This window comes from Homo sapiens, chromosome 8, assembly GCF_000001405.40.
Source record: "Homo sapiens chromosome 8, GRCh38.p14 Primary Assembly".
NCBI classification, from domain to species: domain Eukaryota; kingdom Metazoa; phylum Chordata; class Mammalia; order Primates; family Hominidae; genus Homo; species Homo sapiens.
In genome coordinates this window covers 138,686,634-138,713,037 of record NC_000008.11, presented here as the reverse complement: position 1 = coordinate 138,713,037, position 26,404 = coordinate 138,686,634, and the positions used below count along the sequence as shown (strand labels likewise).

The 26,404-nt window shown below is 47.2% G+C and overlaps 1 protein-coding gene across 13 annotated transcripts in view, besides 2 other annotated features; it reads left to right on the top strand.

Annotated features, from left to right (window-relative positions):
• COL22A1 (collagen type XXII alpha 1 chain) overlaps window positions 1-26,404 on the top strand; it is a 325,807-nt gene that overhangs the window by 201,004 nt on the left and 98,399 nt on the right. For 12 of the 13 annotated variants that reach the window (XM_017013150.3, XM_011516886.4, XM_011516884.3 and 9 more), the window contains 7 exons: window positions 9,691-9,732; window positions 12,894-12,926; window positions 18,159-18,212; window positions 18,477-18,530; window positions 19,339-19,392; window positions 22,164-22,217; window positions 24,068-24,121. In XM_017013150.3, coding sequence (XP_016868639.1) covers window positions 9,691-9,732; window positions 12,894-12,926; window positions 18,159-18,212; window positions 18,477-18,530; window positions 19,339-19,392; window positions 22,164-22,217; window positions 24,068-24,121 — 345 coding nt within the window. Of the gene's footprint in view, window positions 1-9,690; window positions 9,733-12,893; window positions 12,927-18,158; window positions 18,213-18,476; window positions 18,531-19,338; window positions 19,393-22,163; window positions 22,218-24,067; window positions 24,122-26,404 lie in introns of those variants that run through there. The other variant, XR_001745487.2, reaches the window with a different exon arrangement.
• Window positions 17,926-18,426: an enhancer, noted in NCBI's record as "H3K27ac hESC enhancer chr8:139706855-139707355 (GRCh37/hg19 assembly coordinates)". NCBI's record gives its function as "activates a minimal SCP1, AML or CMV promoter by ChIP-STARR-seq in primed H9 embryonic stem cells {active_cell/tissue: H9 hESC(primed)}" and the evidence as "EXISTENCE:reporter gene assay evidence [ECO:0000049][PMID:30033119]".
• Window positions 18,427-18,927: an enhancer, noted in NCBI's record as "H3K27ac hESC enhancer chr8:139706354-139706854 (GRCh37/hg19 assembly coordinates)". NCBI's record gives its function as "activates a minimal SCP1, AML or CMV promoter by ChIP-STARR-seq in primed H9 embryonic stem cells {active_cell/tissue: H9 hESC(primed)}" and the evidence as "EXISTENCE:reporter gene assay evidence [ECO:0000049][PMID:30033119]".

The window sequence follows — 26,404 nt, the reverse complement described above, 5'->3', positions numbered from 1 at the left end:
GACATCCTTTCTACTAGATTCTAACTTGTGCTTCTAGTTCTTACCCTTTCACCAAAGATACGTCCATTTGCTCTGACAGTCATTGTCTAAGAAGACTGATAGAACACGTACCCTCTGCTGATAGAACATGTACCCTCTGCTGGTAGAACCCTCACTCTCTGTTTGTAGAATACTTACCCTCTGCTGGTAGAACCCTTACCCTCTGCTGGTAGAACACTTACCCTCTGCTGATAGAATACATACCCTCTACTGATAGAACATGTACCCTCTGCTGATAGAACATGTACCCTCTGTTGGTAGAACACTTGCCCTGTGCTGGTAGAACCCTCACTCTCTGTTTGTAGAATACTTACCCTCTGCTGGCAGAACCCTTACCCTATGCTGATAGAACACATACCCTCTGCTGATAGAACATGTACCCTCTGCTGAGGAGAACATATGCTCTCTGCTGGTAGAACCCTTACCCTCTGCTGATAGAACACGTACTCTTTGCTGATAGAACATGTACTCTCTGCTGGTAGAACACATACACCCTGCTGATAGATGCTGATAGAACCATTACCCTCTACTGGCTCTAAAGGGGGTACAGGCATGGACAGGGTTGGGAGTCCCACCCTGAGTAAGGTGCTGTACCAGGCACTTGCTTTTCTTGCTGTTTCATGCTCAGTTCTGACCAAATGCACCTCTAGTTCCACGGCAACTTTATAAACACCTGCCCCAAACCCCTCATAGGAGTTTATTTGTGCTTGCCTGCAGCTTAGTAGAAAGAGCACCATTCTTGGACCCATAATGCTGGCCTGGAGTATGGTCCTGGTTCTATCTGCTGTGTGGCATCTTCCCTGACCTTCCTGTGCCTTGGTTTGCCAGTCCAACAAGGACCCTCAGAGTTGTTAAAGAGCATAAGGATTTCCTGTTGGTGGATGACTTGTGGCAGGCTCACTGAGTGCAGGACTGTCCTGAGCACCGTCTGTGTAGGGACTTAGGTAATCTCAGGCCAACCCCATGAGGGGTCACTGCTGTCAACAACATCCCCACTTGATAGATGAGGAAACAGAGGCACAGAAAAGCTAAGTTGCTTGTGCAGAGCTGCATGAATAGAGGTTTAGAGTCAAGATCTAAACCCTGCCAGTGCACATAGAAAGTCCTGGCTCTTAGCACAGAATGCCACACGCTAGGCCTGCCCTGGGGCTGCCTCAGGAGGAATGGCACCCACACACCCAGAGGGCTCTTGCATCCTTCCTCCTCCTGCATGATGCTTTTCAGGGTGCCCCATTCTCCCAAGTTTACTTTCTCCCCTCCAATTTCCAGATCTTTTTCTGCGCAGGTGCTTTCTGGGCTCCAGGCAGTGTCTCCCATCCTCCTTCTCTGGGGCTGGAGGCTGAGGACTTTGCTCCAGGCAGACTTGCGGTCTATAAATAGAGAGCCCAGAGTGGAAAAGGCTCTGCCTCAGTAAGCCATTCAGGCCTGCTGCTGCCGTGGACTTTTCAGAAATGCAGTTTCTATTTGAGAAACTCATTTCCAGAATGCAAAGGCTTAGCGAGACCATAAAGCCCCTTTGATTACTTGGACGGAATTGCCAGGGCCATGGCAGTCACATTCAAGCTTCCAAAGAATCTGGTTTGCCTTTCTTTTCCTCCAGAGAAATATGTGATAATTGACAATTTTGGTCAGAAAATCCAAAAGAAGACATTAAGGCAACATTGCCCTCTTCTGACTGTGCTTTGCCTGTCTCTGCCTCTGCTTCTCCCTTCACGTCCCCTGTTCTTCCCCATTACTGGCACTTAGGCCCACAGCATCAGGGAAGGGTGTGTGTGATGCTCCTGTTCCAGCAAGGGGCGCTGACAGTCAAACACGTCATGGAGGAGCTGGGATTAGAACCCAGGCCTGTTGCATCAACCCTAACACCCATTGATCCTTCTTAGTCAAGCCTCTTTTCCAAAGGCAGAGAGCCCCCATGGGTCTACCTGCTCCAGCTCGCTGTTCTTCCCTTGTCCACAGCCCTCAGGATGAGGAGGCTATTTCCAAAAGGCAGTCTTCATGCCCTCAGGGTGAGAGACACATCTCTCCTCCAGCCCTCTTCTCATTGATACCCATTCATATATTCAACTGGGAAAACACTTAACTTTGATCATTGGGACATTTTAATGGAGAGTAAATTGGTTTAGATGAGATTGGTTCTGGAGCTTGAGTTCAACAATGTCAGGAAGAGAATTGGGTAAAATCAAATAATACACAGTAACACCAAGAAAGTGCTTTTGTTTCTGAAGCTACTGGAACTTTAGTCAGAGCAATGCCACACAATTGTAAAGGGCATGCATTCTGAGCTTAAAACCAGGTTCGGCCATTTGCAGAATGTGTGACTTAGGGCAGGTTCATTGACATTTTTATGCCTCAGTTTCTTCATCTGTGAAATGGAGATATATATATATAGATAGATAGATAGATAGATTATGGGCATTGCTACAAAGATGAAATGGATTCACACATGGAAACTACTTAAACCAGGAGCTGGAATCAAATGCTAAATAACAATAGAAATAATGGTAGAAAAGGATACAACATTTTATAATCATATTATTGTTGTTGACTAAGGGCGAACTTGTCTCTCTCTAAGCCAACTATATTCAAACATTTTTCTATTTCATAACCATATTTGGAAGGCTTGCAAGAGAGCCAGTCCTGGGCTGGTTCAAGAAGCAGATCTAGACATAGACACCTGTCCCCTGGGACCATGTGGCACACATGAAATGACAGGCTTTGGAAACTGTATCCACTCACCATGGACTGTCTTGCGTGGAGCAGCTCAGTGACGTCCTTTCCTCAGGCCAAATGTAATAACACCGTACTCCTTACGGTCTTGCTCAATCTCTGTGCCATGCTGTGAGCTGTATGTATTATCAGCATCATTGTTCTGCAAAGAGAAAACATGCCAAAGTAGGTAAAATAATTTATAAAATGGTATAGTTAGGTTTCAAGCTCAGGTGATTCAACTCCCAAGCCTGTGTTGCTTATAGGAATGTAACACTGTTCCCCCCAGGTTCCTGAGAAGAGCCCACTCCTTCATGGGGGTGGGGCAGGGCCTGCTGGCATCCCTAGGACAGCTGGACTTCAAATGTGTAATTGTGCTCAGGGCATGTGTGTGAGGATATTTGCTGTAACAAATCAACATTAGTTATGATTGCAATCAGAGGAAAACCACATAAATGTCATCAACAGGAAGATGGATAAGAAATAACTTTATTACCTTTTTTATTATACTTTAAGTTCTAGGGTACATGTGCACAAGATGCAGGTTTGTTAGATATGTGTACATGTGCCATGTTGGTGTGCTGCCACCATTAACTTGTCATTTACATTAGGTATATCTCCTAATGCTATCACTTCCCCCTCCCCCCACCCTACTACAGGCCCCAGTGTGTGATGTTCCCCACTCTGTGTCCAAGTGTTCTCATTGTTCAATTCCCACCTATGAGTGAGAACATGGGGTGTTTGGTTTTCTGTCCTTGCGATAGTTTGCTAAGAATGATGATTTCCAGCTTCATCCATGTCCCTACAAAGGACATGAACTCATCCTTTTTATGGCTGCGTAGTATTCCATGGTGTATATGTGCCACATTTTCTTAATCCAGTCTATCATTGATGGACATTTGGGTTGGTTCCAAGTCTTTGCTATTGTGAATAGTGCTGCAATAAACATACGTGTGCATGTGTCTTTATAGCAGCATGATTTATAATCCTTTGGGTATATACCTAGAAATGGGATGGCTGGGTCAAATGGTATTTCTAGTTCTAGATCCTTGAGGAATCGCCACACTGTCTTCCACAATGGTTGAACTAGTTTACAGTCCCACCAACAGTGTAAAAGTGTTCCTATTTCTCCACATCCTCTCCAGCACCTGTTGTTTCCTGACTTTTTAATGTTCCCCATTCTAACTGGTGTGAGATGGTATCTCATTGTGGTTTTGATTAGCATTTCTCTGATGACCAGCAATGATGAGCATTTTTTCATGTGTCTGTTGGCTGCATAAATGTCTTCTTTTGAGAAGTGTCTGTTCATATCCTTTGCCCATTTTTGATGGGGTTTTTTGATTTTTTTCTTGTAAATTTGTTTAAGTTCTTTGTAGATTCTGGATATTAGCCCTTTGTCAGATGGGTAGATTGTGAAAATTTTCTCCCATTCTGTAGGTTGCCTGTTCACTCTAATGGTAGTTTCTTTTGCTGTGCAGAAGCTCTTTAGTTTAATGAGATCCCATTTGTCAATTTTGGCTTTTGTTGCCATTACTTTTGGTGTTTTAGTCATGAAGTCCTTGCCCATGCCTGTGTCCTGAATGGTATTGCCTAGGTTTTCTTCTAGGGTTTTTATGGTTTTAGGTCTAATGTTTAAGTCTTTAACCCATCTTGAATTAATTTTTGTATAAGGTGTAAGGAAGGGATCCAGTTTCAGCTTTCTACATATGGCTAGCCAGTTTTCCCAGCACCATTTGTTAAATAGGGAATCCTTTTCCCATTTCTTGTTTTTGTCATGTTTGTCAAAGATCAGATGGTTGTAGATGTGTGGTATTATTTCTGAGGGCTCTGTTCTGTTCCATTGGTCTATATCTCCGTTTTGGTACCAGTACCATGCTGTTTTGGTTACTGTAGCCTTTTAGTATAGTTTGAAATCAGGTAGCCTGATGCCTCCAGCTTTGATCTTTTGGCTTAGGATTGTCTTGGCAAAGTGGGCTCTTTTTTGGTTCCCTATGAACTTTAGAGTAGTTTTTTCCAATTCTGTGAAGAAAGTCATTGGTAGCTTGATGGGGATGGCATTGAATTTATAAATTACCTTAGGCAGTATGGCCATTTTCACAATATTGATTCTTCCTATCCATGAGCATGGAATGTTCTTCCATTTGTTTGTGTCCTCTTTTATTTCCTTGAGCAGTGGTTTGTAGTTCTCCTTGAAGAGGTCCTTCATGTCCCTTGTAAGTTGGATTCCTAGGTATTTTATTCTCTTTGAAGCAATTGTGAATGGGAGTTCACTCGTGATTTGGCTCTCTGTTTTTCTGTTATTGGTGTATAGGAATGCTTGTGATTTTTGCACGTTGATTTTGTATCCTGAGACTTTGCTGAAGTTGCTTCTCAGCTTAAGGAGATTTTGGGCTGAGATGATGGGGTTTTCTAAATATACAATCATGTCATCTGCAAACAGGGACAATTTGACTTCCTCTTTTCCTAATTGAATACCCTATATTTCTTTTTCCTGCCTGATCGCACTGGCCAGAACTTCCAACACTATGTTGAATAGGAGTGGTGAGAGAGGGCATCCCTATCTTGTGCCAGTTTTCAAAGGGAGTGCTTCCAGTTTTTGCCCATTCAGTATGATATTGGTTGTGGGTTTGTCATAAATAGCTCTTATTATTTTGAGATACGTCCCATCAATACCTAATATATTGAGAGTTTTAGCATGAAGCGTTGTTGAATTTTGTCAAAGGCCTTTTCTGCATCTATTGACATAATCATGTGGTTTTTGTCTTTGGTTCTGTTTATATGATGGATTACATTTATTGATTTGCATATGTTGAACCAGCCTTGCATCCCAGGGATGAAGCCAATTTGATCATGATGGATAAGCTTTTTGATGTGCTGCCGGATTCGGTTTGCCATATTTTATTGAGGATTTTTGCATCGATGTTCATCAGGGATATTGGTCTAAAATTCTCTTTTTTTGTTGTGTCTCTGCCAAGCTTTGGTATCAGGATGATGCTGGCCTCATAAAATGAATTAGGGAGGATTCCTTCTTTTTCTATTGATTGGAATAGTTTCAGAAGGAATGGTACCAGCTCCTCTTTGTACCTCTGGTAGAATTCGGCTGTGAATGCATCTGGTCCTGGACTGTTTTTGGTTGGTAGGCTATTAATTATTGCCTCAATTTCAGAGCCTGTTATTGTTCTATTCAGGGATTCAGCTTCTTCCTGGTTTAGTATTGGGAGGGCGTATGTGTCCAGGAGTTTATCCATTTCTTCTAGATTTTCTAGTTTATCTGCATAGAAGTGTTTATAGTATTCTCTGATGGTAGTTTGTATTTCTGTGCGATCGGTGGTGATATCCCCTTTATCATTTTTTATTGCATCTATTTGATTCTCTCTCTTCTCTTCTTTATTAGTCTTGCTAGTGGTCTATCAATTTTGTTGATCTGTTCAAAAAACCAGCTTCTGGATTCATTGGTTTTTTGAAGGGTTTTTTGTGTCTCTATCTCCTTCAGTTCTGCTCTGACCTTAGTTATTTCTTGCCTTCTGCTAGCTTTTGAATGTGTTTGCTCTTGCTTCTCTAGTTCTTTTAATTGTGATGTTAGGGTGTCAATTTTAGATCTTTCCTGCTTTCTCTTGTGGGCATTTAGTGCTATAAATTTCCCTTTACACACTGCTTTGAATGTGTCCCAGAGATTCTGGTATGTTGTGTCTCTGTTCTCATTGGTTTCAAAGAACATCTTTATTTCTGCCTTCATTTTGTTATGTAGCCAGTAGTCATTTAGGAGCAGGTTGTTCAGTTTCCATGTGGTTGAGTGGTTTTGAGTGAGTTTCTTAATCCTGCATTCTAGTTTGATTGCACTGTGGTCTGAGAGACAGTTTGTTATAATTTCTGTTCTTTCACATTTGCTGAGGAGTGCTTTACTTCCAACTATGTGGCCAATTTTGGAATGAATGAGATGTGGTGCTGAGAAGAATGTATATTCTGTTGATTTGGGGTGGAGAGTTCTGTAGATGTCTATTAGGTCTGCTTGGTGCAGAGCTGAGTTCAAGTACTAGATATCCTTGTTAACTTTCTGTCTTGTTGATCTGTCTAATGTTGACAGTGGGGTGTTAAAGTCTCCCATTATTATTGTGTGGGAGTCTAAGTCTTTTTGTAGGTCTCTAAGGACTTGCTTTATGAATCTGGGTGCTCCTGTATTGGGTGCATATATATTTAGGATAGTTAGCTCTTCTTGTTGAATTGATCCCTCTACTATTATGTAATGGCCTTCTTTGTCTGTTTTGATCTTTGTTGCTTTAAAGTCCGTTTTGTTTTATCAGAGACTAGGATTGCAACCCCTGGTTTTTTTTGCTTTCCATTTGCTTGGTAGATCTTCCTCTATCCCTTTGTTTTGAGCCTATGTGTGTCTCTGCATGTGAGATGGGTCTCCTGAATACAGCACACTGATGGGTCTTGACTCTTTATCCAATTTGCCAGTCTGTGTCTTTTAATTGGAGCATTTAGCCCATTTACATTTAAGGTTAATATTGTTATGTGTGAATTTGATCCTGTCATTATGATGTTAGCTGGTTATTTTGCTCATTAGTTGATGCAGTTTCTTCCTAGCATGGGTGGTGTTTACAATTTGGCATGTTTTTGCAGTGGCTGGTACCGGTTATTCCTTTCCATGTTTAGTGCTTCCTTCAAGAGCTCTCATAAGGCAGGCCTGGTGGTGACAAAATCTCTCAGCATTTGCTTGTCTGTAAAGGATTTTATTTCTCCTTCACTTATGAAGCTTAGTTTGGCTGGATATGAAATTCTGGGTTGAAAATTCTTTTCTTTAAGAATGTTGAATATTGGCCCCTACTCTCTTCTGGCTTGTAGAGTTTCTGCTGAGAGATCCGCTGTTAGTCTGATGAGCTTCCCTTTGTGGTAAACCGACCTTTCCCTCTGGCTGCCCTTAACATTTTTTCCTTCATTTCAACTTTGGTGAATCTGACAATTATGTGTCTTGGAGTTGCTCTTCTCGAGGAGTATCTTTGTGGTGTTCTCTGTATTTCCTGAATTTGAACGTTGGCCTGCCTCGCTAAGTTGGGGAAGTTCTCCTGGATAATATCCTGAAGAGTGTTTTCCAACTTGGTTCCATTCTCCCCGTCACTTTCAGGTACACCAATCAGGTGTAGATTTGGTCTTTTCACATAGTCCCATATTTCCTGGAGGCTTTGTTCATTTGTCTTTACTCTTTTTTTCTCTAAACTTCTCTTCTTGCTTCATTTCATTCATTTGATCTTCAATCATTGATACCCTTTCTTCCACTTGATTGAATCAGCTACTGAAGCTTGGGCATGCATCACGTAGTTCTCATGCCATGGTTTTCAGCTCCATCAGGTTATTTAAGGTCTTCTCTATGCTGTTTATTCTAGTTAGCCATTCGTCTAATCTTTTTTCAAGGTTTTTAGCTTCTTTGCAATGGGTTCGAACATCCTCCTTTAGCTCAGTGAAGTTTGTTATTACCGATCGTCTGAAGCCTACTTCTATCAACTCATCAAAGTCATTCTCAATCCAGCTTTGTTCCATTGCTGGCGAGGAGCTGCATTCCTTTGGAGGAGGCGAGGCGCTCTGATTTTTAGAATTTTCAGCTTTTCTGCTCTGGTTTCTCCCCATCTTTGTGGTTTTATCTACCTTTGGTCTTTGATGATGGTGATGTACAGATGGGGTTGGTGTGGATGTCCTTTCTGTTTGTTAGTTTTCCTTCTAACAGTCAGGACCCTCAGCTGCAGGTCTGTTGAAGTTTTCTGGAGGTCCACTCCAGACGCTGTTTGCCTGGGTATCAGCAGCGGAGGCTGCAGAACAGCAAATATTGCAGAACAGCAAATGTTGCTGCCTGATCCTTCCTCTGGAAGCTTCGTCTCAGAGGGGCATCTGGCTGTATGAGGTTTCAGTTGGCCCCTACTGGGAGGTGTCTCCCAATTAGGCTACTTGGGGTTTAGGGACCCACTTGAGGAGGCAGTCTGTCTGTTCTTAGATCTCAAACTCCGTGCTGGGAGAACCACTACTCTCTTCAAAGCTGTCAAACAGGGACATTTAAGTCTTCAGAAGTTTCTGCTGCCTTTTGTTCGGCTATGCCCTGCCCCCAGAGGTGGAGTCTATAGAGGCAGGCAGGCCTCCTTAAGCTGTGGTTGGCTCCACCCAGTTCGAGCCTCCCGGCTGCTTTGTTTACCTACTCAAACCTCAGCAATGGCGGGCGCCCCTCCCCCAGCCTCGCTGCCACCTTGCAGTTTGATCTCAGACTGCTGCGCTAGCAGTGAGTGAGGCTCTGTGGACGTGGGACCTTCTGAGCCAGGTGCGGGATATATTCTTCTGGTGTGCCGTTTGCTAAGACTGTTGGAAAAGCACAGTATTAGGGTGGGAGTGTCCCAATTTTCCAGTTACAATCTGTCACGGGTTCCCTTGGCTAGGGAAGGGAATTCCCCAACTCTTTGTGCCTCCTGGGTGAGGCAATGCCCTGCCCTGCTTTGGCTCACACTCCGTGGGCTGCACACACTGTCCAAAAAGCCCCAGTGAGATGAACCTGGTACCTCAGCTGGAATGCATAAATCACCTGTCTTCTGCATTACTCACACTGGGAGCTGTAGACTGGAGCTGTTCCTATTCAGCCACCTTGGATCCCCCTTCACTTTATTACCATTTACACAATAGAATAGTATATAGTGATATAAATGATCTACCACTACGCATATCAATATGGATACTTCTGAAAACAATGTTTTTATATGTCTGAAATAGTTTATAATTTGGAATGTACATATGTAATTATGTATGTATGTATCTATCAAGGTAGGTGCAGGGTGCACCTACCTGCACCCTGCAGAAGACAACACCTTCTGTTGTCTGGGGAAAATAGTGTTAGCTGATCTGTTGCAGCATAAGCAGAGTTGGGAGGAAGATTAATGGTCATGGATTTTCCATTTCTCCATCTAGGGTGAAGCTGGTCCTGCAGGCCCTCCCGGGTTACCTGGAACTGTAAGTTACTCCGCTTCTAATTCTTTCTCCTCTGAATTCCTATATTGGGATTCGTACTCCCCCTCCAGCAACTGCCACTACTTAGTTTTAAATATCTCCCCTATTGGAGTTTGCCAATAGCTAGGCCTATTCCTAGGTCCTACAAACCAAAAATATATACACTTCTCTAAGAACCATCCTATGCTTATTGATTTATTCAGCAAAAGCACAATTATTTATCAGAATGGGTGCTAGATACTGAGAATACATATCTGCCTGTCACATATGGGGAAACTGAGGTCCAGAGACAAGAAGCAGTTTGCCCAGCGTAAGACTGCACTACCATGACCCAGGAACTGGGCTTCATTCATTGGCCCTCTATACGTGTTAGGGTGGGCATGGTGAGTTGGTATTGAGTATCAGTAAGAGTGTGGGCTTTGAGGGCATGAAGACCTGGCTCCCAGCTCTGTCATTCACCAGCATTGTGGTCATAGTTATGGTCTAACAAAGTCAGTTTTCTCGTCTGTTAGAAAATATTATACCCAGCTATCTTGTACATGTGGAGTGAAAGTTAATTGAAACTACAAAATATTTGGCAGAGTTTCTGGTGCATTATAAATATTAAAAATCTTAAAAATTGCTATTATTATTATTTATCTTACTCCCAAGAACTGTATAATGGGAGCACATTTTTCTTTTTCTTTTTTTTTTTTCCACTTTAATGTTTCTTCCTCATCTTGAGATCCTCTGTTTTGACCAGCTGATTTCAGGGAAGTTTGCACATGGCTTCTTGGGCTGGCCCTGACCCTAAACATGTATCAGGAGTTGGCCAGTTACTGGCCCTTGCAGGGGATGCCAGGAGAGGAGAGAGCCTGTGCACTCAGAAATCCCATTTGTAGTGTGGCAAAGAATCTTACTCTGTGCTTTTCATCACACCGAAATCATTATTCCACAGCTCTGTCTCCTCCCCAGCAATGCTCATCAAAATGAGACTCAGACATTCCATAAGGGTGTTGGAAGAAATTGGGATCACAACTTTAGAGTCGGAATTAGTCATATCAAATTTTTGTTTAAGATTGATAACCTACAGCATTGGCAGGGGTGCAGGGCAGCAAGCAGTCTCATACCTTTTTGGTGGTAGAACAGATTGGACACACCTATTTGAGAAGTTACTTGGCAGTACCAATATATCACAAAGTGCCTACCCCTAAGCTTAGATATTCCATGTCTAGGCATTTATCCTGCAGAAATATTTGTATGTGTGCATTTTTAAAAGCATGTATAAGGATGTACATTGTAGTATCACTTATGACAATAAAAAGTTAGAACAGACCACATGATCATAAGCACAAAGTTAAGTGAATCACAAAATATCTGTATCATGGAATTCTACAAATTAATATGCGTACAATATGTGTATGGTCTTGAAAAGATAGTGATACTCAAATTAAGTGGAACTAGGCAAATTAAGTAGAAAAAATCTATTAGTCAATCACTGCATATTGAAAGATAAGAACACAGGCTCCCCAGGCCACCTATGTGGACGCCAGTTTCTGTCCTGACATTCACTAGCAGCTTGAACTTCATTCTGTGGTTTACTTCTGTGTCCTCCAATTTTCTTATCCATAAGGCAGGACAGAAACAGATAGTCCACCTCTTAGAGTTATTGTGAGACCACATGAGTGAAGGCCTCTCAATGGCTGTAAGTAATCATCTGTAGTCGCTGTTACTATTTGTATAACTTGCACAAAGTTATATATTTCTAAACATTTATAATTGTGTGGAAATATATAGGAAATAGTTAAAAATATGGTAAACTGAAAAACAGTGCCTTCTAGAAAAGGGACAGGGGTTGGGGACATGGAGGGCAAGATATAGGAAGCTACTTTTTTCCATCTTTTTTTAATGTATTGTGGTTTAGGACCATTATCTATGATGTTTTTTGTCCATTTACTGCTTCTTTCGGGCCCGTGCTGGGACCCAGGCATCTGCATGGATCAGATCTGTCAGGGCTTGTAGCCTAGTCAAGAAGATAAACTAACCCTACAGTGGCAAAGATATAGCTACATTGCAAATTATAGTAAATGTGATCCAGGAAAAGAACAAGATGCATCAACAAGAATAACATGGGGACCCAAATTATATTTGCATGGTGGAGAGGGAAGAGGGATCCGTGAAGACACGACATTTAAAAGACACCTGCAGGTCTCCATATGACCTTAGTCATAGAAAGGGAGAGGAGAGTATGTTCCAGGCAAGGGGAACAGTATTTGCAAAAGCTTTGAAGCTGGAGAAAGCATGACACCTGAGAAGCCTTTTTTTTTTTTTTTTTTTTTTTGAGACGGAGTCTCGCTGTGTCGCCCAGGCTGGATGGAGTGCAGTGGCGTGATCTGGGCTCACTGCAAGCTCCGCCTCCTGGGTTCATGCCATTCTCCTGCCTCAGCCTCCCGAGTAGCTGGGACTACAGGCACCCGGCATCACGCCTAGCTAATTTTTTGTATTTTTTAGTAGAGACTGGGTTTCACCATGTTAGCCAGGGCGGTCTCAATCTCCTGACCTCGTGATCCGCCCGCCTTGGCCTCCCAAAGTGCTGGGATTTCAGGCGTGAGCCACCGCGCCCGACCTAGCCTTAAACACAGCCTAGGTGGGGGTGGCCAGGCTGAAGGAGCCTGCAGGGGCCAGTCCGCCAGAGTCTTTGTAGCCTGGGCTCTGTCAAGCAGGGATTTCCCCTCCTCTCCTACTCTCCCCAACCTTGTCTACTACGCACCTGCATCCCTGCCTGATGCCCAGCAGATGGCAGTAGTGAGAAGGAGACATTGTGACATGAATCCAGTGTCCTGGCAGAGCTCTTATGGACACCTGCAGGGAAGAATGTTTCTTTCCCGTTTTACCGATGGGGACATAGAAGCTGAGGAGACATGTCCAAGGTCACACAGGGTTTGGAGCTCAGGTCTTTTGCCTCCAGGGCTCCGGAATCTAACCACTATGCATTTCTGCCTTAATAAATAAATAGCCAGGGATTTTAAAGAAAGATGTGAATCTAATTGTCAAAACTAATAATCGTTCCAGGAAGCTTTGGGGCTGTATTCTTTCACTTGTAAATCTCTCCAAGGCAGGTTTTAAAAATGAAACACTGGGTTCCTTGATGCCCATCTTTCTAATCTCTGTGGTTTCCTTTTCAGACATCCCTGTTCACACCACATCCACGGATGCCCGTAAGTAGTAGCGGTGCCTCGGGGTGCCCAGTGTGCCTCGGCCTGGAGGGCAATGTCCAGTGTGGCCTGGGAGCCTGGACTGGGTGGGGTGAGGACTCAGCCCCATCGCGTTCATCACTGTCAGGGATCTGGGCTGCTGGGCTTGTCCTGAAAACAGGTGGAGAAAGGGCCTTGCAGGGAGCTGGCTCCAGGGTCAGGCAGGACATTCCAGGGGCCTAGAAGTCACCTCTCATAGCTAAGAGCAAAGGCCAGGCATCTCTGGGAAAAGTTAATTCTTCAGTAACACAGAGAGTAGCTGGTGGTTTTGAGGAGAACAGAATTATTTGAGATGCCAGAACATGAGAGTCAGAGAGAGGCAAAGATGTTCCCCATGGATGCTGGCAGTGAAGGAGACCAGAGACAGGGGTGTCAAGAGGGGACCCCATTCTCAGGCTGTTCTGGGGACTGGAACCTGAGATGTAGCCTGGGGTGTGCCGATGGACAGAGAGTGATGCTGGCTACTTCCACACACAAAAACACTTGGCAGGAAATAAAGCTTAGCACTGCAACGTCTAGAAACCTTTTTCCTCTCTTTTCACGAATGGCTCTTCAGAAAATAGGTGTTTTCAGGATCTCTTTATGCTGTAGGCTGAAGCCAGAAAACATGCCATTGTTTCTTTTGCTGCCTTTGATGCAGTTCTTCTGCTATTAGGGCTTGACCTGCGGGACAGCTGAGAGGCTGAGGTAGATGTCCATTTCAGCTGTTGCTATCTTCATTTATTCAATATTAAGTCGATTCCATTTTAAAAGCTTAAAAGAATCCTGCGTGTGATGCAAAAGAAGGAAGCAGGTAGACAGACTGAGTCAGGTGCTAAAATCACTGCAGGAGAAGGAAGGATTTTGTGCTTGGGAAGCATAATGGGGAGATGGGGGCATCCTAGGGCAGCATGGACTTAGGGAGAAGTGGGTGAGAGGCGTCTGCGGGAAAGAGCAGGTGCACAGGGCTCTGGCTGTGAGCCTTTCCTGAAGGGAGAGAAGGCCCTGATGTTAAAGGAGCCCTCTTGTCACTGAGCTGTCAACCACTAGAGGGCACTGCTTCACTGCCCTCCTGTCCTGGAAAATGTTCCTTATGTTTCTTCGCTGAGACCTAGTTTTCTCAATTATAAAATTGGGACAATAAAAATACACTTTCAGGATTAAATGCAAATAACAGGATATTTGCACTTTACATAAAACATTTATAACTCTGCTCCGCTCTGGCAGAGACAGGCACTCACTGCATGAGGACACAGCACCTCCCTCACCCGCAGGGCGGGTACTCACTGCATGAGGACACCACACCTCTCTCACCTGCAGGGCGGGTACTTACTGCATGAGGAACACCGCACCTCTCTCACCTGCATGGCAGGTACTCACTGCATGAGGGACACAGCACCTCTCTCACCTGCATGGCAGGTACTCACTGCATGAGGGACACAGCACCTCTTTCACCTGCAGGGCAGCACTCACTGCATGAGGAGGCAGCACCTCCCTCACCTGTAGGGCTGTCGCTCACTGCATGAGGAACTCCCTTACCTTTCTGCCACCCTGTCTTCTCACCTGCTCTCCCAGAGAGGGGCTTGGAAGGACAGAGCACCCCATGCAGCAGCTCAGCTCCGGGCGTTTTCCTGGCACTGCTGCAACCAAGCCTCCTAACAGCCTTGAGGGAGTGGCACCTGTGTCCATCTTACAGGTGACGGTCCTGCAGCTCAGAGGTGCTAGGGAACTTGCCAAGAAGGCCCTACCAGCGAGATAGGAATTAGGGGCTAGTGTGTCAGCCATAGCGCACTGGATGGAGCGTCTGTACCGCCGTTGCTTCAGTTCCGGCTGGCTGTCCTGTGCAAGGGGCTTCCCATCACACTGCCTGTCCCTTCCACTGGTCACCTGCCTTTCCTGGACCACCTCCATGTATTGCCTCCCCCTGCCCCTGACATCTGTGGGCCTCCCTCCCTCAGGTCCACCCTGAGCCCCTCGGGGTTGAGACAAGCCTACATGTCCAGCCTCTCCTTAAAGGAATTGCTCTGTAAAAACACAACTTCCAGAGCATTCCACTGGGAAGGCACGTGAGGGGCCTGTGCCGCCCTCCACCTTGAGTCCCAGCACTGACATCCTTCCTGCAGGCTCTGCATTGCTGCGGGAGCCTGGGAGCCAGGAAGCCACTCTCAGATGCAAACAAGGAAATTATGTCTATGGAAAAAAAAAGTTTCATTGTGGGCAATTGCCTGAGTCTCCCCGGGACTGGCTTCGTCACCATGGCAACCCATGTTTGTATTGATGGATTTGGAAAGTGTTATTCTGTTTGACTTCTCCCTGCTCTGCTCAGGCACATGCCTTTGAGCCCCTGCAGTGCAGGAAGAGGCTGGGGAGAGAGCAATTTAGAGGGGTGTTAAGGTCTGCCGCATAATGAAGGAAGAGAATGGAAAGGAGATGAGGGGGTGGAGGGAGAAGCCCGACTCATTTTGTCACCCTCTCTGGGACTGAGGAGGCTCCTGGGGATGGCTGGTGGCTGCACCTGATGAGGTGACAGGGTGCTGGTGGTTTGCAGAGGACAGAGCAGGCTGTTTGATGGTGTGCATATCCCTGGGGTCTGCAGATGTCAGAACCTTTGCTGGAGGAAGGAGGGACAGGCAGCTTGGTGCTTGGGGAAGTTACAGTGGAGAACTCAAGCAGGGTTTTGTAACTGGAGGCTCATCAGTTGTTCCAAAGCAGTTATCTTAGGAAGGCTCTGTCCAACCGGCCTGATTCTACCCCCTCACCCTGCTAAGGAGGCTTCAGGATGCCCAGGCAATGACCAAAGCCTGCAGAGATGATCATGAGTCCCAGAGATGGTGTTTAACTTGGCTGAGGTCACCAGGGGGCAGTGGGGAGGAGATGGAAGCCAGCCAAACTTACACATTCAACAGCTACTGACAGAGCCCTTCCAGGGGGCCCCTGGAGGGAAGGTGCTGCCTCCTGACTCCTAGGCTCTGGGGCAGGAATCTCTTGAGCATCTGGAGTCCTTCTCTGGCCCTTTCTGACCCTCCGTAGGTCCTCACTTTGTCTTCCTGCCACTGCAGTCCCGTTCACCAACACTGGAAGAAGACTGTACAAATGTCTTCCCTGTGTGTCTCCTGAAACAATCCCATAAGCCCTTTTGTCTTTATGAATTGTGTTGCCAATGACTGGAGGACCAGAAAAAGACTTGCAAATCCCCACCATGGGTAGTTTTCTAGGAGGAAAACATGCTAGAAATAATGGTATTATTGTCTGTGGTGAATGGGGCTAGACATGTCTCCTTCTGAGCTCAATGGCAATGGAGATTCTAGGCAGAGGAATGAGCTGGCATCCGTTGAAACCTCCTCTGTATTGGTCACTGTGAAACACTTTGCAAACGCAATCTCACTGAATCCAGGTCACAGCTGTACGAGGTAGACCATGTCGGTTCCATGCAATAGGTGATGCTGAGTGAGGAAGACAGCCGCAGGCCATGTGGTCTCCAACTGCCGTATCAGAGAGAGGCTTGGGAAGGGAGGGCAGGTAGAAACCATGGCTGCAAGGCCTCTAACATTTGCAGAGACATAGAGAGAGAAAGTAGCATGAAACCCTTAGTAGATAGTGTCTTTCTATGCTGATTTCTCCACCAAGTAAAGGTTAGAACTACTCAGGTTCTCTAATGTAGACATTAGACTCTTTCTTCCAGATGCATCCATGGCCCTCCCTTCATCTCCTGCTCTCTAAAGCCGTGTCTTGCAAACACCCCATCCATGTAGGACTCCCTTCTACACCCAAGGCAGATGCTCATCCCAGCTCTCCTTGGGCTTATCTGTGGCAGGGGAGCCCGATGTCCCCCTAAGCAGGCTGTGGGGATTTGGGACAGTAGCAGGTTCTGCTCCTTGAGAAGGGTTGCATACTGCCTTTCTGGGTACACGTGCTCTGGTTGTTATCTGCCGTCCTGGAGAACTCTGCAAACCTGTGCTGTTTCTCTTTGATGTCTTGCCTCTGCTGCACCTTCTCTGTACCATTGACCTTCACCCTATGTGAAAAGGGGACCACCTCTTTATTTTGCAGATATGGAAACTGCAAAAGTCATATGGGGTCCGTATGGGTAACTACTTTGCCCAAGTTTATATGGCCAATAAGTTAGAGGGCCAGGGCTCCCAAGACAGGCTGTATGGGTCTGAAGCTGAGACTGTGTCCACACTGGTTCACTGGCCCCACTCCTCTCCTGCACAGTGGCCCTTCAGCTGTGGAAAGATACGCCCTTGAGCCCTTGGAAAGCTGTCCTCACTGTAGTCCCCCATCTGCTCATCTTCTCCTTGTTCCATATGAATTGCAGGCTGAGGATCACATGTCCCTTCAACCCTCCTGGGAGATGTGTTGGGCACCCTGGATGTGGCTCCCTGGAAGTGAGCCTGCCCCATCTTGGATCATTCCATACTGGGCCCACCCAGGGTACTGCCTGTCCAGCCTGTGTCTCATCCTTTCTTCAGCAAAAGTTAGACACACCATTCTGACCACCCAGAGTCTAGGGTTCAACCCCCAGTCTGTCCCCAAAGGTCTGGGTTCCCTTAGTTAAGCACCCCTCCCCAGCTTCTCTATCTAGAAAGGGGTTGGAGCCAGGCACGATGGTGAGGACCTGTAGTTCCAGGAGGCAGGTACACAGGAGGCTGTGCAGGGAGGATCGCTTGAGCCCAGGATTTCAAGAAAGGTCTGGGCAGTATAATGAGACCCCATCTCTACTAGAAAGAGAGAGAGGAAGGGAGGGAGAGAGAGAAAGAGAGGGAGAAAAAGTAGTGTTTGGGCCAGGGGCCCTTAAAGACCCTTCCTCCTCTCAAAACTCTTTCCATCATTCACTGATGATCTACCATGTGCCAGGCTCTGAGCTGGAGGGGAGATGAATCAAACCACACAACTAAGTGTAAAACTGCGGCCATAACAGGGCTCAGGAGGAGAAAGGCACAGTACACTGACCTGCTGTAACAGGAGGGTTGGGCCCATTTTGGGGTTCAGCTTCCCAGAAGAAGTGATTCCTGACCTGAAAGATGAGTCAGAATCAGTCCTGGGGAGTAGGAGGGAAGAACCCCCAGGCAGAGGGAACAGCCTTTGGGGGTGGGGACCTATCAGGTGATACACAGGACTGGAGGTGGCCTGTGTGTCCGGAGCTGGGGACATGTACCCTGTGACGAGGGGCAGTTCTCCCTGAAGTCCACTCTACCCTATGCTTCTCACCAACAGGGAGAACAAGGGCCCAAAGGAGAGAAGGGCGATCCAGGCCTGCCTGGGGAACCGGTGAGTCTCTTGTGTCCCCTTCCCCCGCAGGGCTGGTTACCTGGAGACCCGGACTCCAAAGGCTGACCAGCTGTAGATCTGCACCGTGCATTCCACACCCAGGAGCCACACTGAATGGAAGGCAGCCCTTTCTTCTCCTCAGGACGCTAGCTACGTCCCCTCCTTGGATCTCAAATTATACCCATTGCAACGTCCCCGCCCCATCCGCCCATCTGCTCAGAACCAGGAGGATGAGCTGGTTCATGGCAACTTGTGTGCTTACAGGGACTGCAGGGCCGTCCTGGAGAATTGGGGCCTCAGGGACCCACTGGACCACCGGTAAGAAAACCATCCCTTCCCCTGCTGGCTCAGAGACTTGGAGATCCCAGCCACACTCTCTCGCTCCAGGCCACCCTCCCCAGTTCTCTCCCCTGGCATTTTGGGAGTAGACGCTGGGCAGAGCAGCCCCAATGTGCTGCAGAGGCTGAGTGGCCCTCACTAAACGCCCCAGACACAGCCATGGGGCCAGGCCCCACCTCTGTACCCCTGGATGTCCCTACTCTGTCACTAAAGGGTTGGTGTAGGTGAGCTGCAGGTTTCTGCCGTGCTCTCCCTTCTCCTGCTCAGCGGGATCTGGAGAGCAAGGGCCTCTGCACATAGGGGGCACCTTGGTTCCCAGAGGATTTGCAGAACAGGAAATGGATCCCAGTCATGGAGTGGCAGTGCTGGTTTAAGTGACACCTGGTACATGTTAGTGCTTTGATTCTGTCATTTTGCTCGGTGTTTGCCTCTGCACTGGATCTTGGTTCTCTGGGAGACTCTGTGCTATGGTAGGAGATCCTGCTGGGGTGACTGGGGACCTTGCCTGGCTGTGTGAGCCCCTCTGAGCTACATTTCTACAGAGGGTCGGTGCTGACCCCTATACCCTGGGTAGGTGGTGAGGATGGAATGAAATCGCGATATGACCATCTCCAACAGAGGGCCAGAAAGTAGTGATTTTCTTCACCTTTTAGACGGTGCTCCCGGGCCCCTTCAGTTTGGAATAATGCTTCTGATGAGCACGGTATTCCCGAGACCTCCCTGCTGTGAGGGGAAACAGCATCACTGAGGGTGTCTTACCCCCGCCCCTCTTTTATTTCCTGTGCAGGGTGCCAAGGGACAGGAAGGTGCACATGGGGCTCCTGGAGCAGCTGGAAACCCCGTGAGTCCCTATGATCGGCCTGCCTCGTGGGGGAGCCCCGGAGGGAGGCCCCGCCCAGTGTCTGCTCTGCTCTATGGCTCACAGCTCTGGGCTAGCTAGGAGGACGTGGCCCAGAAGGTTCACCCACACTTGAGTGGTTGGTGGGAGTCAGCACGGAGAGAGGTTCTGGCCTCCACCACCTTCGTAGCATTTCTTGACTTTGTCCACATGCCCAGCGAATGAAAGAAATCTCTTTCTATGCACATGTGGATGAGACACACACAGACCTCCCCTCGCAGGTGAGGTTGTTACTCCAAGAAGTGTGCTTACATGCACAACCACGTACATGTACTCTACAAACCAGAGAACACACATCCTATAATACATGCATGCACAGGTGCACACACACACACACAGCCCCAAACACACAGATGCAGCCAGGAAAACATACAGACACCTCTATGCACACTCCTCAGCTGCTCCTGGCTCACCCATCCTTGGGGCCAGATCCAGGGTGTATTTGATCCCCGTGGGGCTGGCACTTGTTCCTGGAGCTGATTTGGGCTCTGTCTCATGGTGCGGAGCCAGAGAGCTCAGGCTGGACTGTGGAGCTGGCGGAAGGCAGGACGGGCTGACTTATCCCCGGGTCTCTGGGGAGCAGTGGTGGCAAGAGGAGCAGCAGCAGCACACGTCTGGTCTGCTCCTAGCACCACTGCCGGGTGCCCTGTACCAGGTAGAGGGTGCTGATATGACCAGGCCACCATGCGTATGGTCAGGTTGGAACTGGGTCTGCCAAGGTAGTGACCAGTGTGGATGCCACAGTGGGGACAGATGGCAACTCCTCCCTGCTTGTGGAGAGAGCCCTGGTTCCAGCTCAGCCTGGAGGGGAATGGAAGCAGAGTGTAGGCAAGGAGGAAGCTGGGAGTGTTCTCCGTGAGTCCTGACCCTGGAGATGTGCAAAACCCGGGGACAGTGGGGAACAAGGCCTGGAGGAAACATGGGCAGCCTCCAAGGCCGTGAGAGTTCCCTGCTTCTCTGCACCTATAGAGTTGACCCACCTGGAATGTCCTCACCCACATCTCCTGTCATGGATCATTGCCCGGCCATCAAGTTCTAGTTCAAATCCACTTCTTACCTGATTTTCCAGTCAAAGCCAACACACACACACACACACACACACACACACACACACACACACACACATGCACTCACACACACACCTCCACACACATGCACACACGTACGTGCACACACACATACACACACATGTACATACGTGCACAATACACATGTCCACAAACATGCACACATGTGCACACATACACACATCCACAAACATGCACACGCATGCACACACATACACCTCCGCAAACATGCACACATGCATGTGCACACAAACATGCACACACGCACACATACGTCCACAAACATGCACATGCACGTGCACACATACACCTCCACAAACATGCACACATGCACGTGCACACATACACACACACCTCCACACATACACATACCACCACAAACATGCACACACGTACACACATACACACACCTCCACAAACGTGTACACATGCACGTATACACATACACCTCCACAAACGTGCGCGCACACACACACCTTCACAAATGCACGCGCATGCATACACCTCCAGAAACATGCACACATGCACGTGCACACATACACACACCTCCACACATGCACCTCCACAAACATGCACACACGTACACACACCTCCACAAACATGCACACATGCACGTGCACACATACACCTCCACACATACACCTCCACAAACATGCACACACGCACGTGCACACACACCTCCACATACACACACCTCCACAAACATGCACACACACGTACACACACACACCTCCACAAACATGCACACACTTACGTGTACACATATACACACCTCCACAAACATGCACACTCACATGTACACACATAAACACACCTCCACAAATATGCACACATGCACTGTACACATATACACACCCCCACAAACATGCATACACGCACGTGCACACATACACCTCCACAAACGTGCACACATGCATGCACACACACCTTCACAAATGCACACGCACACATACACCTCCACAAACATGCACACACGGACATACACACATACACACACCTTCACAAATATGCACACATGGACGTGCACACATACACATACCTCCACAAACATGCACACACGGACGTACACACATACACACACCTTCACAAACGTGCACACATGGACGTGCACACATACACATACCTCCACAAACATGCACACATGCACATGCATACACACATCTCCACAAACGTGCACACACGCATGCACACACATACGCTTCCACAAACCTGCACACACGCACGTGCACACATACACATACATATGCAACTGAGATCTGAACTGTTCATTTTTCAATGTTTCCTTTTCCTCATGCACTTAGGATAAGGCCAAACCTCACCTGAAATCCTCTTCTGTGGTTAGGTCCCAGCCCTTCTCTGCCCACACCCAGGCTCCTCCACACCCCTGTGCCTTAGCTCTAAGGAACTTCCAGAGTCCTCCTGCCCTCCTGCCTTTCACCTCTGTGCCAGAAGCCCACTCACCTGAGGCTTGGTGCTTGGGACACCACAGCCCTCCGGAGAGGAGGTTCACGTCTGCAGAGGCTGTCAGGTCAGCAGCAGTTCCAGCACATTGCGGTGAATTGAGTATGAGGCAGATTTGCAGAGAGAGTGGGGGCAACTACTTCTAATCAATGCGTTTGGCCTTTCTAAACTTCTGTCTCTGAACAGGGTGCTCCCGGACATGTCGGTGCCCCCGGTCCCAGTGGCCCTCCAGGAAGTGTGGTGAGTAATTGGGAGAGGGCATACGCACGGCCCAGCCACCAAGCTAGTTAATGTATCCTCCCCAAAAGCCAGAGGCGTAGGATACATGGGAGTAAGGGGAGGATCCTTACTCCCATTTTCCAGACGGAGACACTGCTGTCCTGACATAGACCACCCAGAAAGTTCACACACCTGAGCCCTAGGCAACTCGCCAGCTATCCAGAGGGTAAACGCAGCTGTTGGCATCTGCAGAAAGTCTGTACATTTCACTGGTGTTGGAATCAACACCCTAGTTTGCTTCAGAAGAAAGAAAATGAACCTAAAGAAGTCAAAGGTCCCCTGACGGCTATTGGGGGACCTGGATTCGAATCCAGCTCTTTTATTAATTGACATGACCATCTTGGCAAGCCCCTCCTTGAGGTCTCGGCTAGTTCATCTGCAAAATGGAGACAATAGCTTGGCTGCTTCACCTTTAGGGTTGCATCTTTTTTGGCCTGACGAGATTCTGCCTTTTCCATGTCGAGGCCCAAGGTGTCCGCTAAAGGACCAGCTTTAAGATTCACCATAAACACCAATTTAGACTTGAACATTGTTCAACAAAACACTCCATGACATCTAGTCAAGGGCAACAAAGCGTTTTTCCCCTACAATAGATTTAGGTCAGTCTTGTTTCTTCATCAAGCCTTTATAGGTAATAAGCATAGTAGCTTAGAGGACTGAGCCTTTATACATGCCAGGCATGGTACTAAGCACATTACATGTGTTCATTCATTTACTCTGCACAGCAACCCTGCTGGAGGAATATGTGTTCATTCATTTAATCCACACAGCAACCCTGCTGGAGGAATATTATTATTTTACATGGAGGCTTCCTGCAGCCCAGCCTGCATTCTTCTGGCTGGGAGTCTTCTCTGGCCTCTAAAGAGTATGTTGTTGAGCCACGTGATGGGTGGCCAGCAGCACCACCAGCAGAATAGCTCAGATCACTTGTTCTCAGCTGTCATCGCTCTGAGCGTACGTCCTGCACAGGATCCCAGAGTCACAGCAGGACAGAGCTCCAGTGGCCAGCAAGTGTATTTCTTGCTGCCTGTTCTCCCCTGCTTTATTTATTTTTATTTTTATTTTTTGAGGTGGAGTTTAGCTCTGTCACCCAGGCTGGGGTGCAGTGGCATGATCTTGGCTCACTGCAAGCTCCGCCTCCTGGGTTCAAGTGATTCTCTTGCCTCAGCTTCCCAAGTAGCTAGGATTACAGGGGCGTGCCTCCATGCCCAGCTAATTTTTGTATTTTAGTGGAGATGGGGTTTCACCATGTTGGCCAGGCTGGTCTTGAACTCCTGACCTCAAGTGATCCGTCTGCCTTGGCCTTGCAGAGTGCTGGGATTACAGGCATGAGTGTTCTCCCCTTTTTGCTTCTCTGTTTCCCTACTATTGCATCCATGGGACGCTTGCACTTAAACCATGTCTCAAAGTCAACCTTTTGGGGACTCCAAAGACACTGTTGGAGCAGATGCCCCAATGCTAAGGCTGGGTTCTTAAGGCCATCCTCATCTTCCCAGAGTGTTCACTGTGCCAGGCCACGCCTTCTGATAGTTCACATTCCAGAGCAGGCGGTAAAGCTTCCAGCAGACCATGCCTGCTGTTAAGAGCTCTGATGTGCACTGTTACAAGGCCAGCCCCCCCCCCGGGAGAGCAGCAGTCATGGGCAGGGAGGAGGTGGAGCTTTGGGGAATTTAAATAAAGTATGGGAATTGGGTGGGAGCTGTAGTCGTTGACTTCAGGGGGACCTGATGATTCTTCCCTGGGGGTCACGAGCCACCAAGAGTGACCAGTCATCTTTAAATTCACCATGTCCGTAATCTTCCTTGCCACAGGGTGCTCCCGGCCTCAGAGGCACCCCAGGGAAAGATGGGGAGCGTGGTGAGAAGGTAAGACCAATATGATCTCTCAGCACACAAGTGAATATCCTTAACTTCTTACAGGCACTGAAGGAGCAGCTCACTCTGCTCGGGCCTGGTTTAGGAACCAGCAATCAGAAGGGGTTTACTAAGTAGGAGGGAGAGGAAGACTGTGCCATCCCATTGGCTCATTTATTCCTCACAACAGACCTGAGAATCAGACAAGTGCCCATTAGACAGATGTGGAGACTGAGGCTCTGAGAAGTTAATTAGTTTGCTCTGTGTCTCATAGCAAATAAGCTACAGAGCTAGGTCTGTCTGACTCCAAATCCTGTTTTCTCTCAATTCAGTGCACCAACTTATCCATTATACACCTATGCTCACACACGTAAACCTTCCCAAGCTATGAGATTTTTTTTTTTTCTTGAGACAGGGTCTCACTCTGCCACTGAGGCTGGAGTGCAGTGGTGTGATTTCCACTCACTACAACCTCTGCCTCCCGGGTTCAAGCAATTCTCATGTCTCAGCCTCCTGAGTAGCTGGGATTACAGGTGTGCGCCACCATGCCTGGCTAATTTTTGTATTTTTTGCAGAGACGGGGTTTTACCATGTTGCTCAGGCTGGTCTCAAACTCCTGGACTCAAGTGATCCACCCGCCTTGGCCTCCCAAAGTGCTGGGATTACAGGTGTGAGCCACTGAACCCAGCCTGAGATTTTAATTATTAATAAGAGAGACACATGTTCCCATACCAATTAAAAAAAAAAAAAACCCAGAGGCCAAGAAGGAGAATCTACACCCTTTTAAGTTCCATTCTGCATTTCTCTGACATAGCACCTTAGGAAATGTCTCTGAGGTTAATTGGTGACACTGAGCCAGGGCTCAGGAAATCAGACGTACTCATTTGAATGATTCAGCGTTTGGACCTGAGTCAAATGCCAGCTCTCTTGCCCTAGTTGCATTGATATAAGCTAGGGTGACAAAAGTGATTCTCAACAGGGGGTTTTTACCCAGGGAGATATTTTTTGTTGTCACCACTAAGGGGAGTAACTGCTCCTGGCATCAGTGGGTAGAGACCAGAGAACCTGCTAAAAACCTCACAGCACATGAGACATTCCCCTTATAAGAACGATCCTCCCTGAAGGTCAATAGTGCCAAGGTTGAGAAACCCTGATCTAAATAAAGCACACTCTCTTTGAACCTGGATTTTCTCATCTGTAAAATGAGGGTGATGCCGCATTGATCATAGGTTGTGAGGATTAGCTGAGGAATTGGGGAGTCATGTGCAAAGGACTCAGCAGATAACAGGTGACAAGGGTACCATGTGGTTGTGTCCTGCCCTCCCTGCGTGAGCAGATCACACTAGTATCCATGGACAGGAAGAGACGATATTGGGGCATGGATTGTCCACAGAGGTCCCTCCTAGCACACACCTGGCCAAACTTCTTAACATGAATTCTTTCAAGTTCAAGTTCATCTACTTGGTGCCTTTTAAAGAATCACTTCAGTTCTTATGTTTTTGCATAATTTAACACGAGGAGATGTCATTTGCCTTTTTGCAGGAAGGTTCAATTTTAAGATACACGTCTCCCAGAAAAAAAGAACTTAGTGCAGAGAAAAATGATCAACACATCTATGAAGACTCTCTTGGGTTTTTGGAGTGTTGATCATAGGCTTAATAATAACCCTATGGGCCGGGCGTGGTGGCTCACGCCTGTAATCCCAGTACTTTCGGAGGCCAAGGCAGGCAGGTCACTTGAGGTCAGGAGTTCATGACGGGCCTGGCCAACATGGTGAAACCCCATCTCTACTAAAAATACAAAAATTAGTTGGGTATGGTGGCACATGCCTGTAATCCCAGCTACTTGGGAAGCTGAGGCACAAGAATCGCTTGAACCTGGGAAGCGGAGGTTGCCTTGAGCTGAGATCACATCACTGCACTCCAGTCTGGATGACAGAGTGAGATTCCATCTCAAATAATAATAATAATAAATAATAATAATAACAAACCTTATGTAATACAGGTACAAACATTCATTTTTTGAAAAGAAGATAATGCCATTTCAGACTGCCTAGATTAAGCAAAGGAAAAACATCTGGATTCATCTGGTATTCCTTAATTATACCATGTCTGAAGGACGGCACATTATAAGTAGGACATTGGTAACCTGGAAGGGGATGGCCTCTTAGGAGGACTAACAGGTGCATGTTCAGAAACCAGAAATCAGTGGGCTATTGCCACATTCAGCCTCTAGAGGGAGCCAAATGCCTTTCCTTGGCTGAGCAGAGGCCCAGGCTGAGGGCCGGGCCCGGGA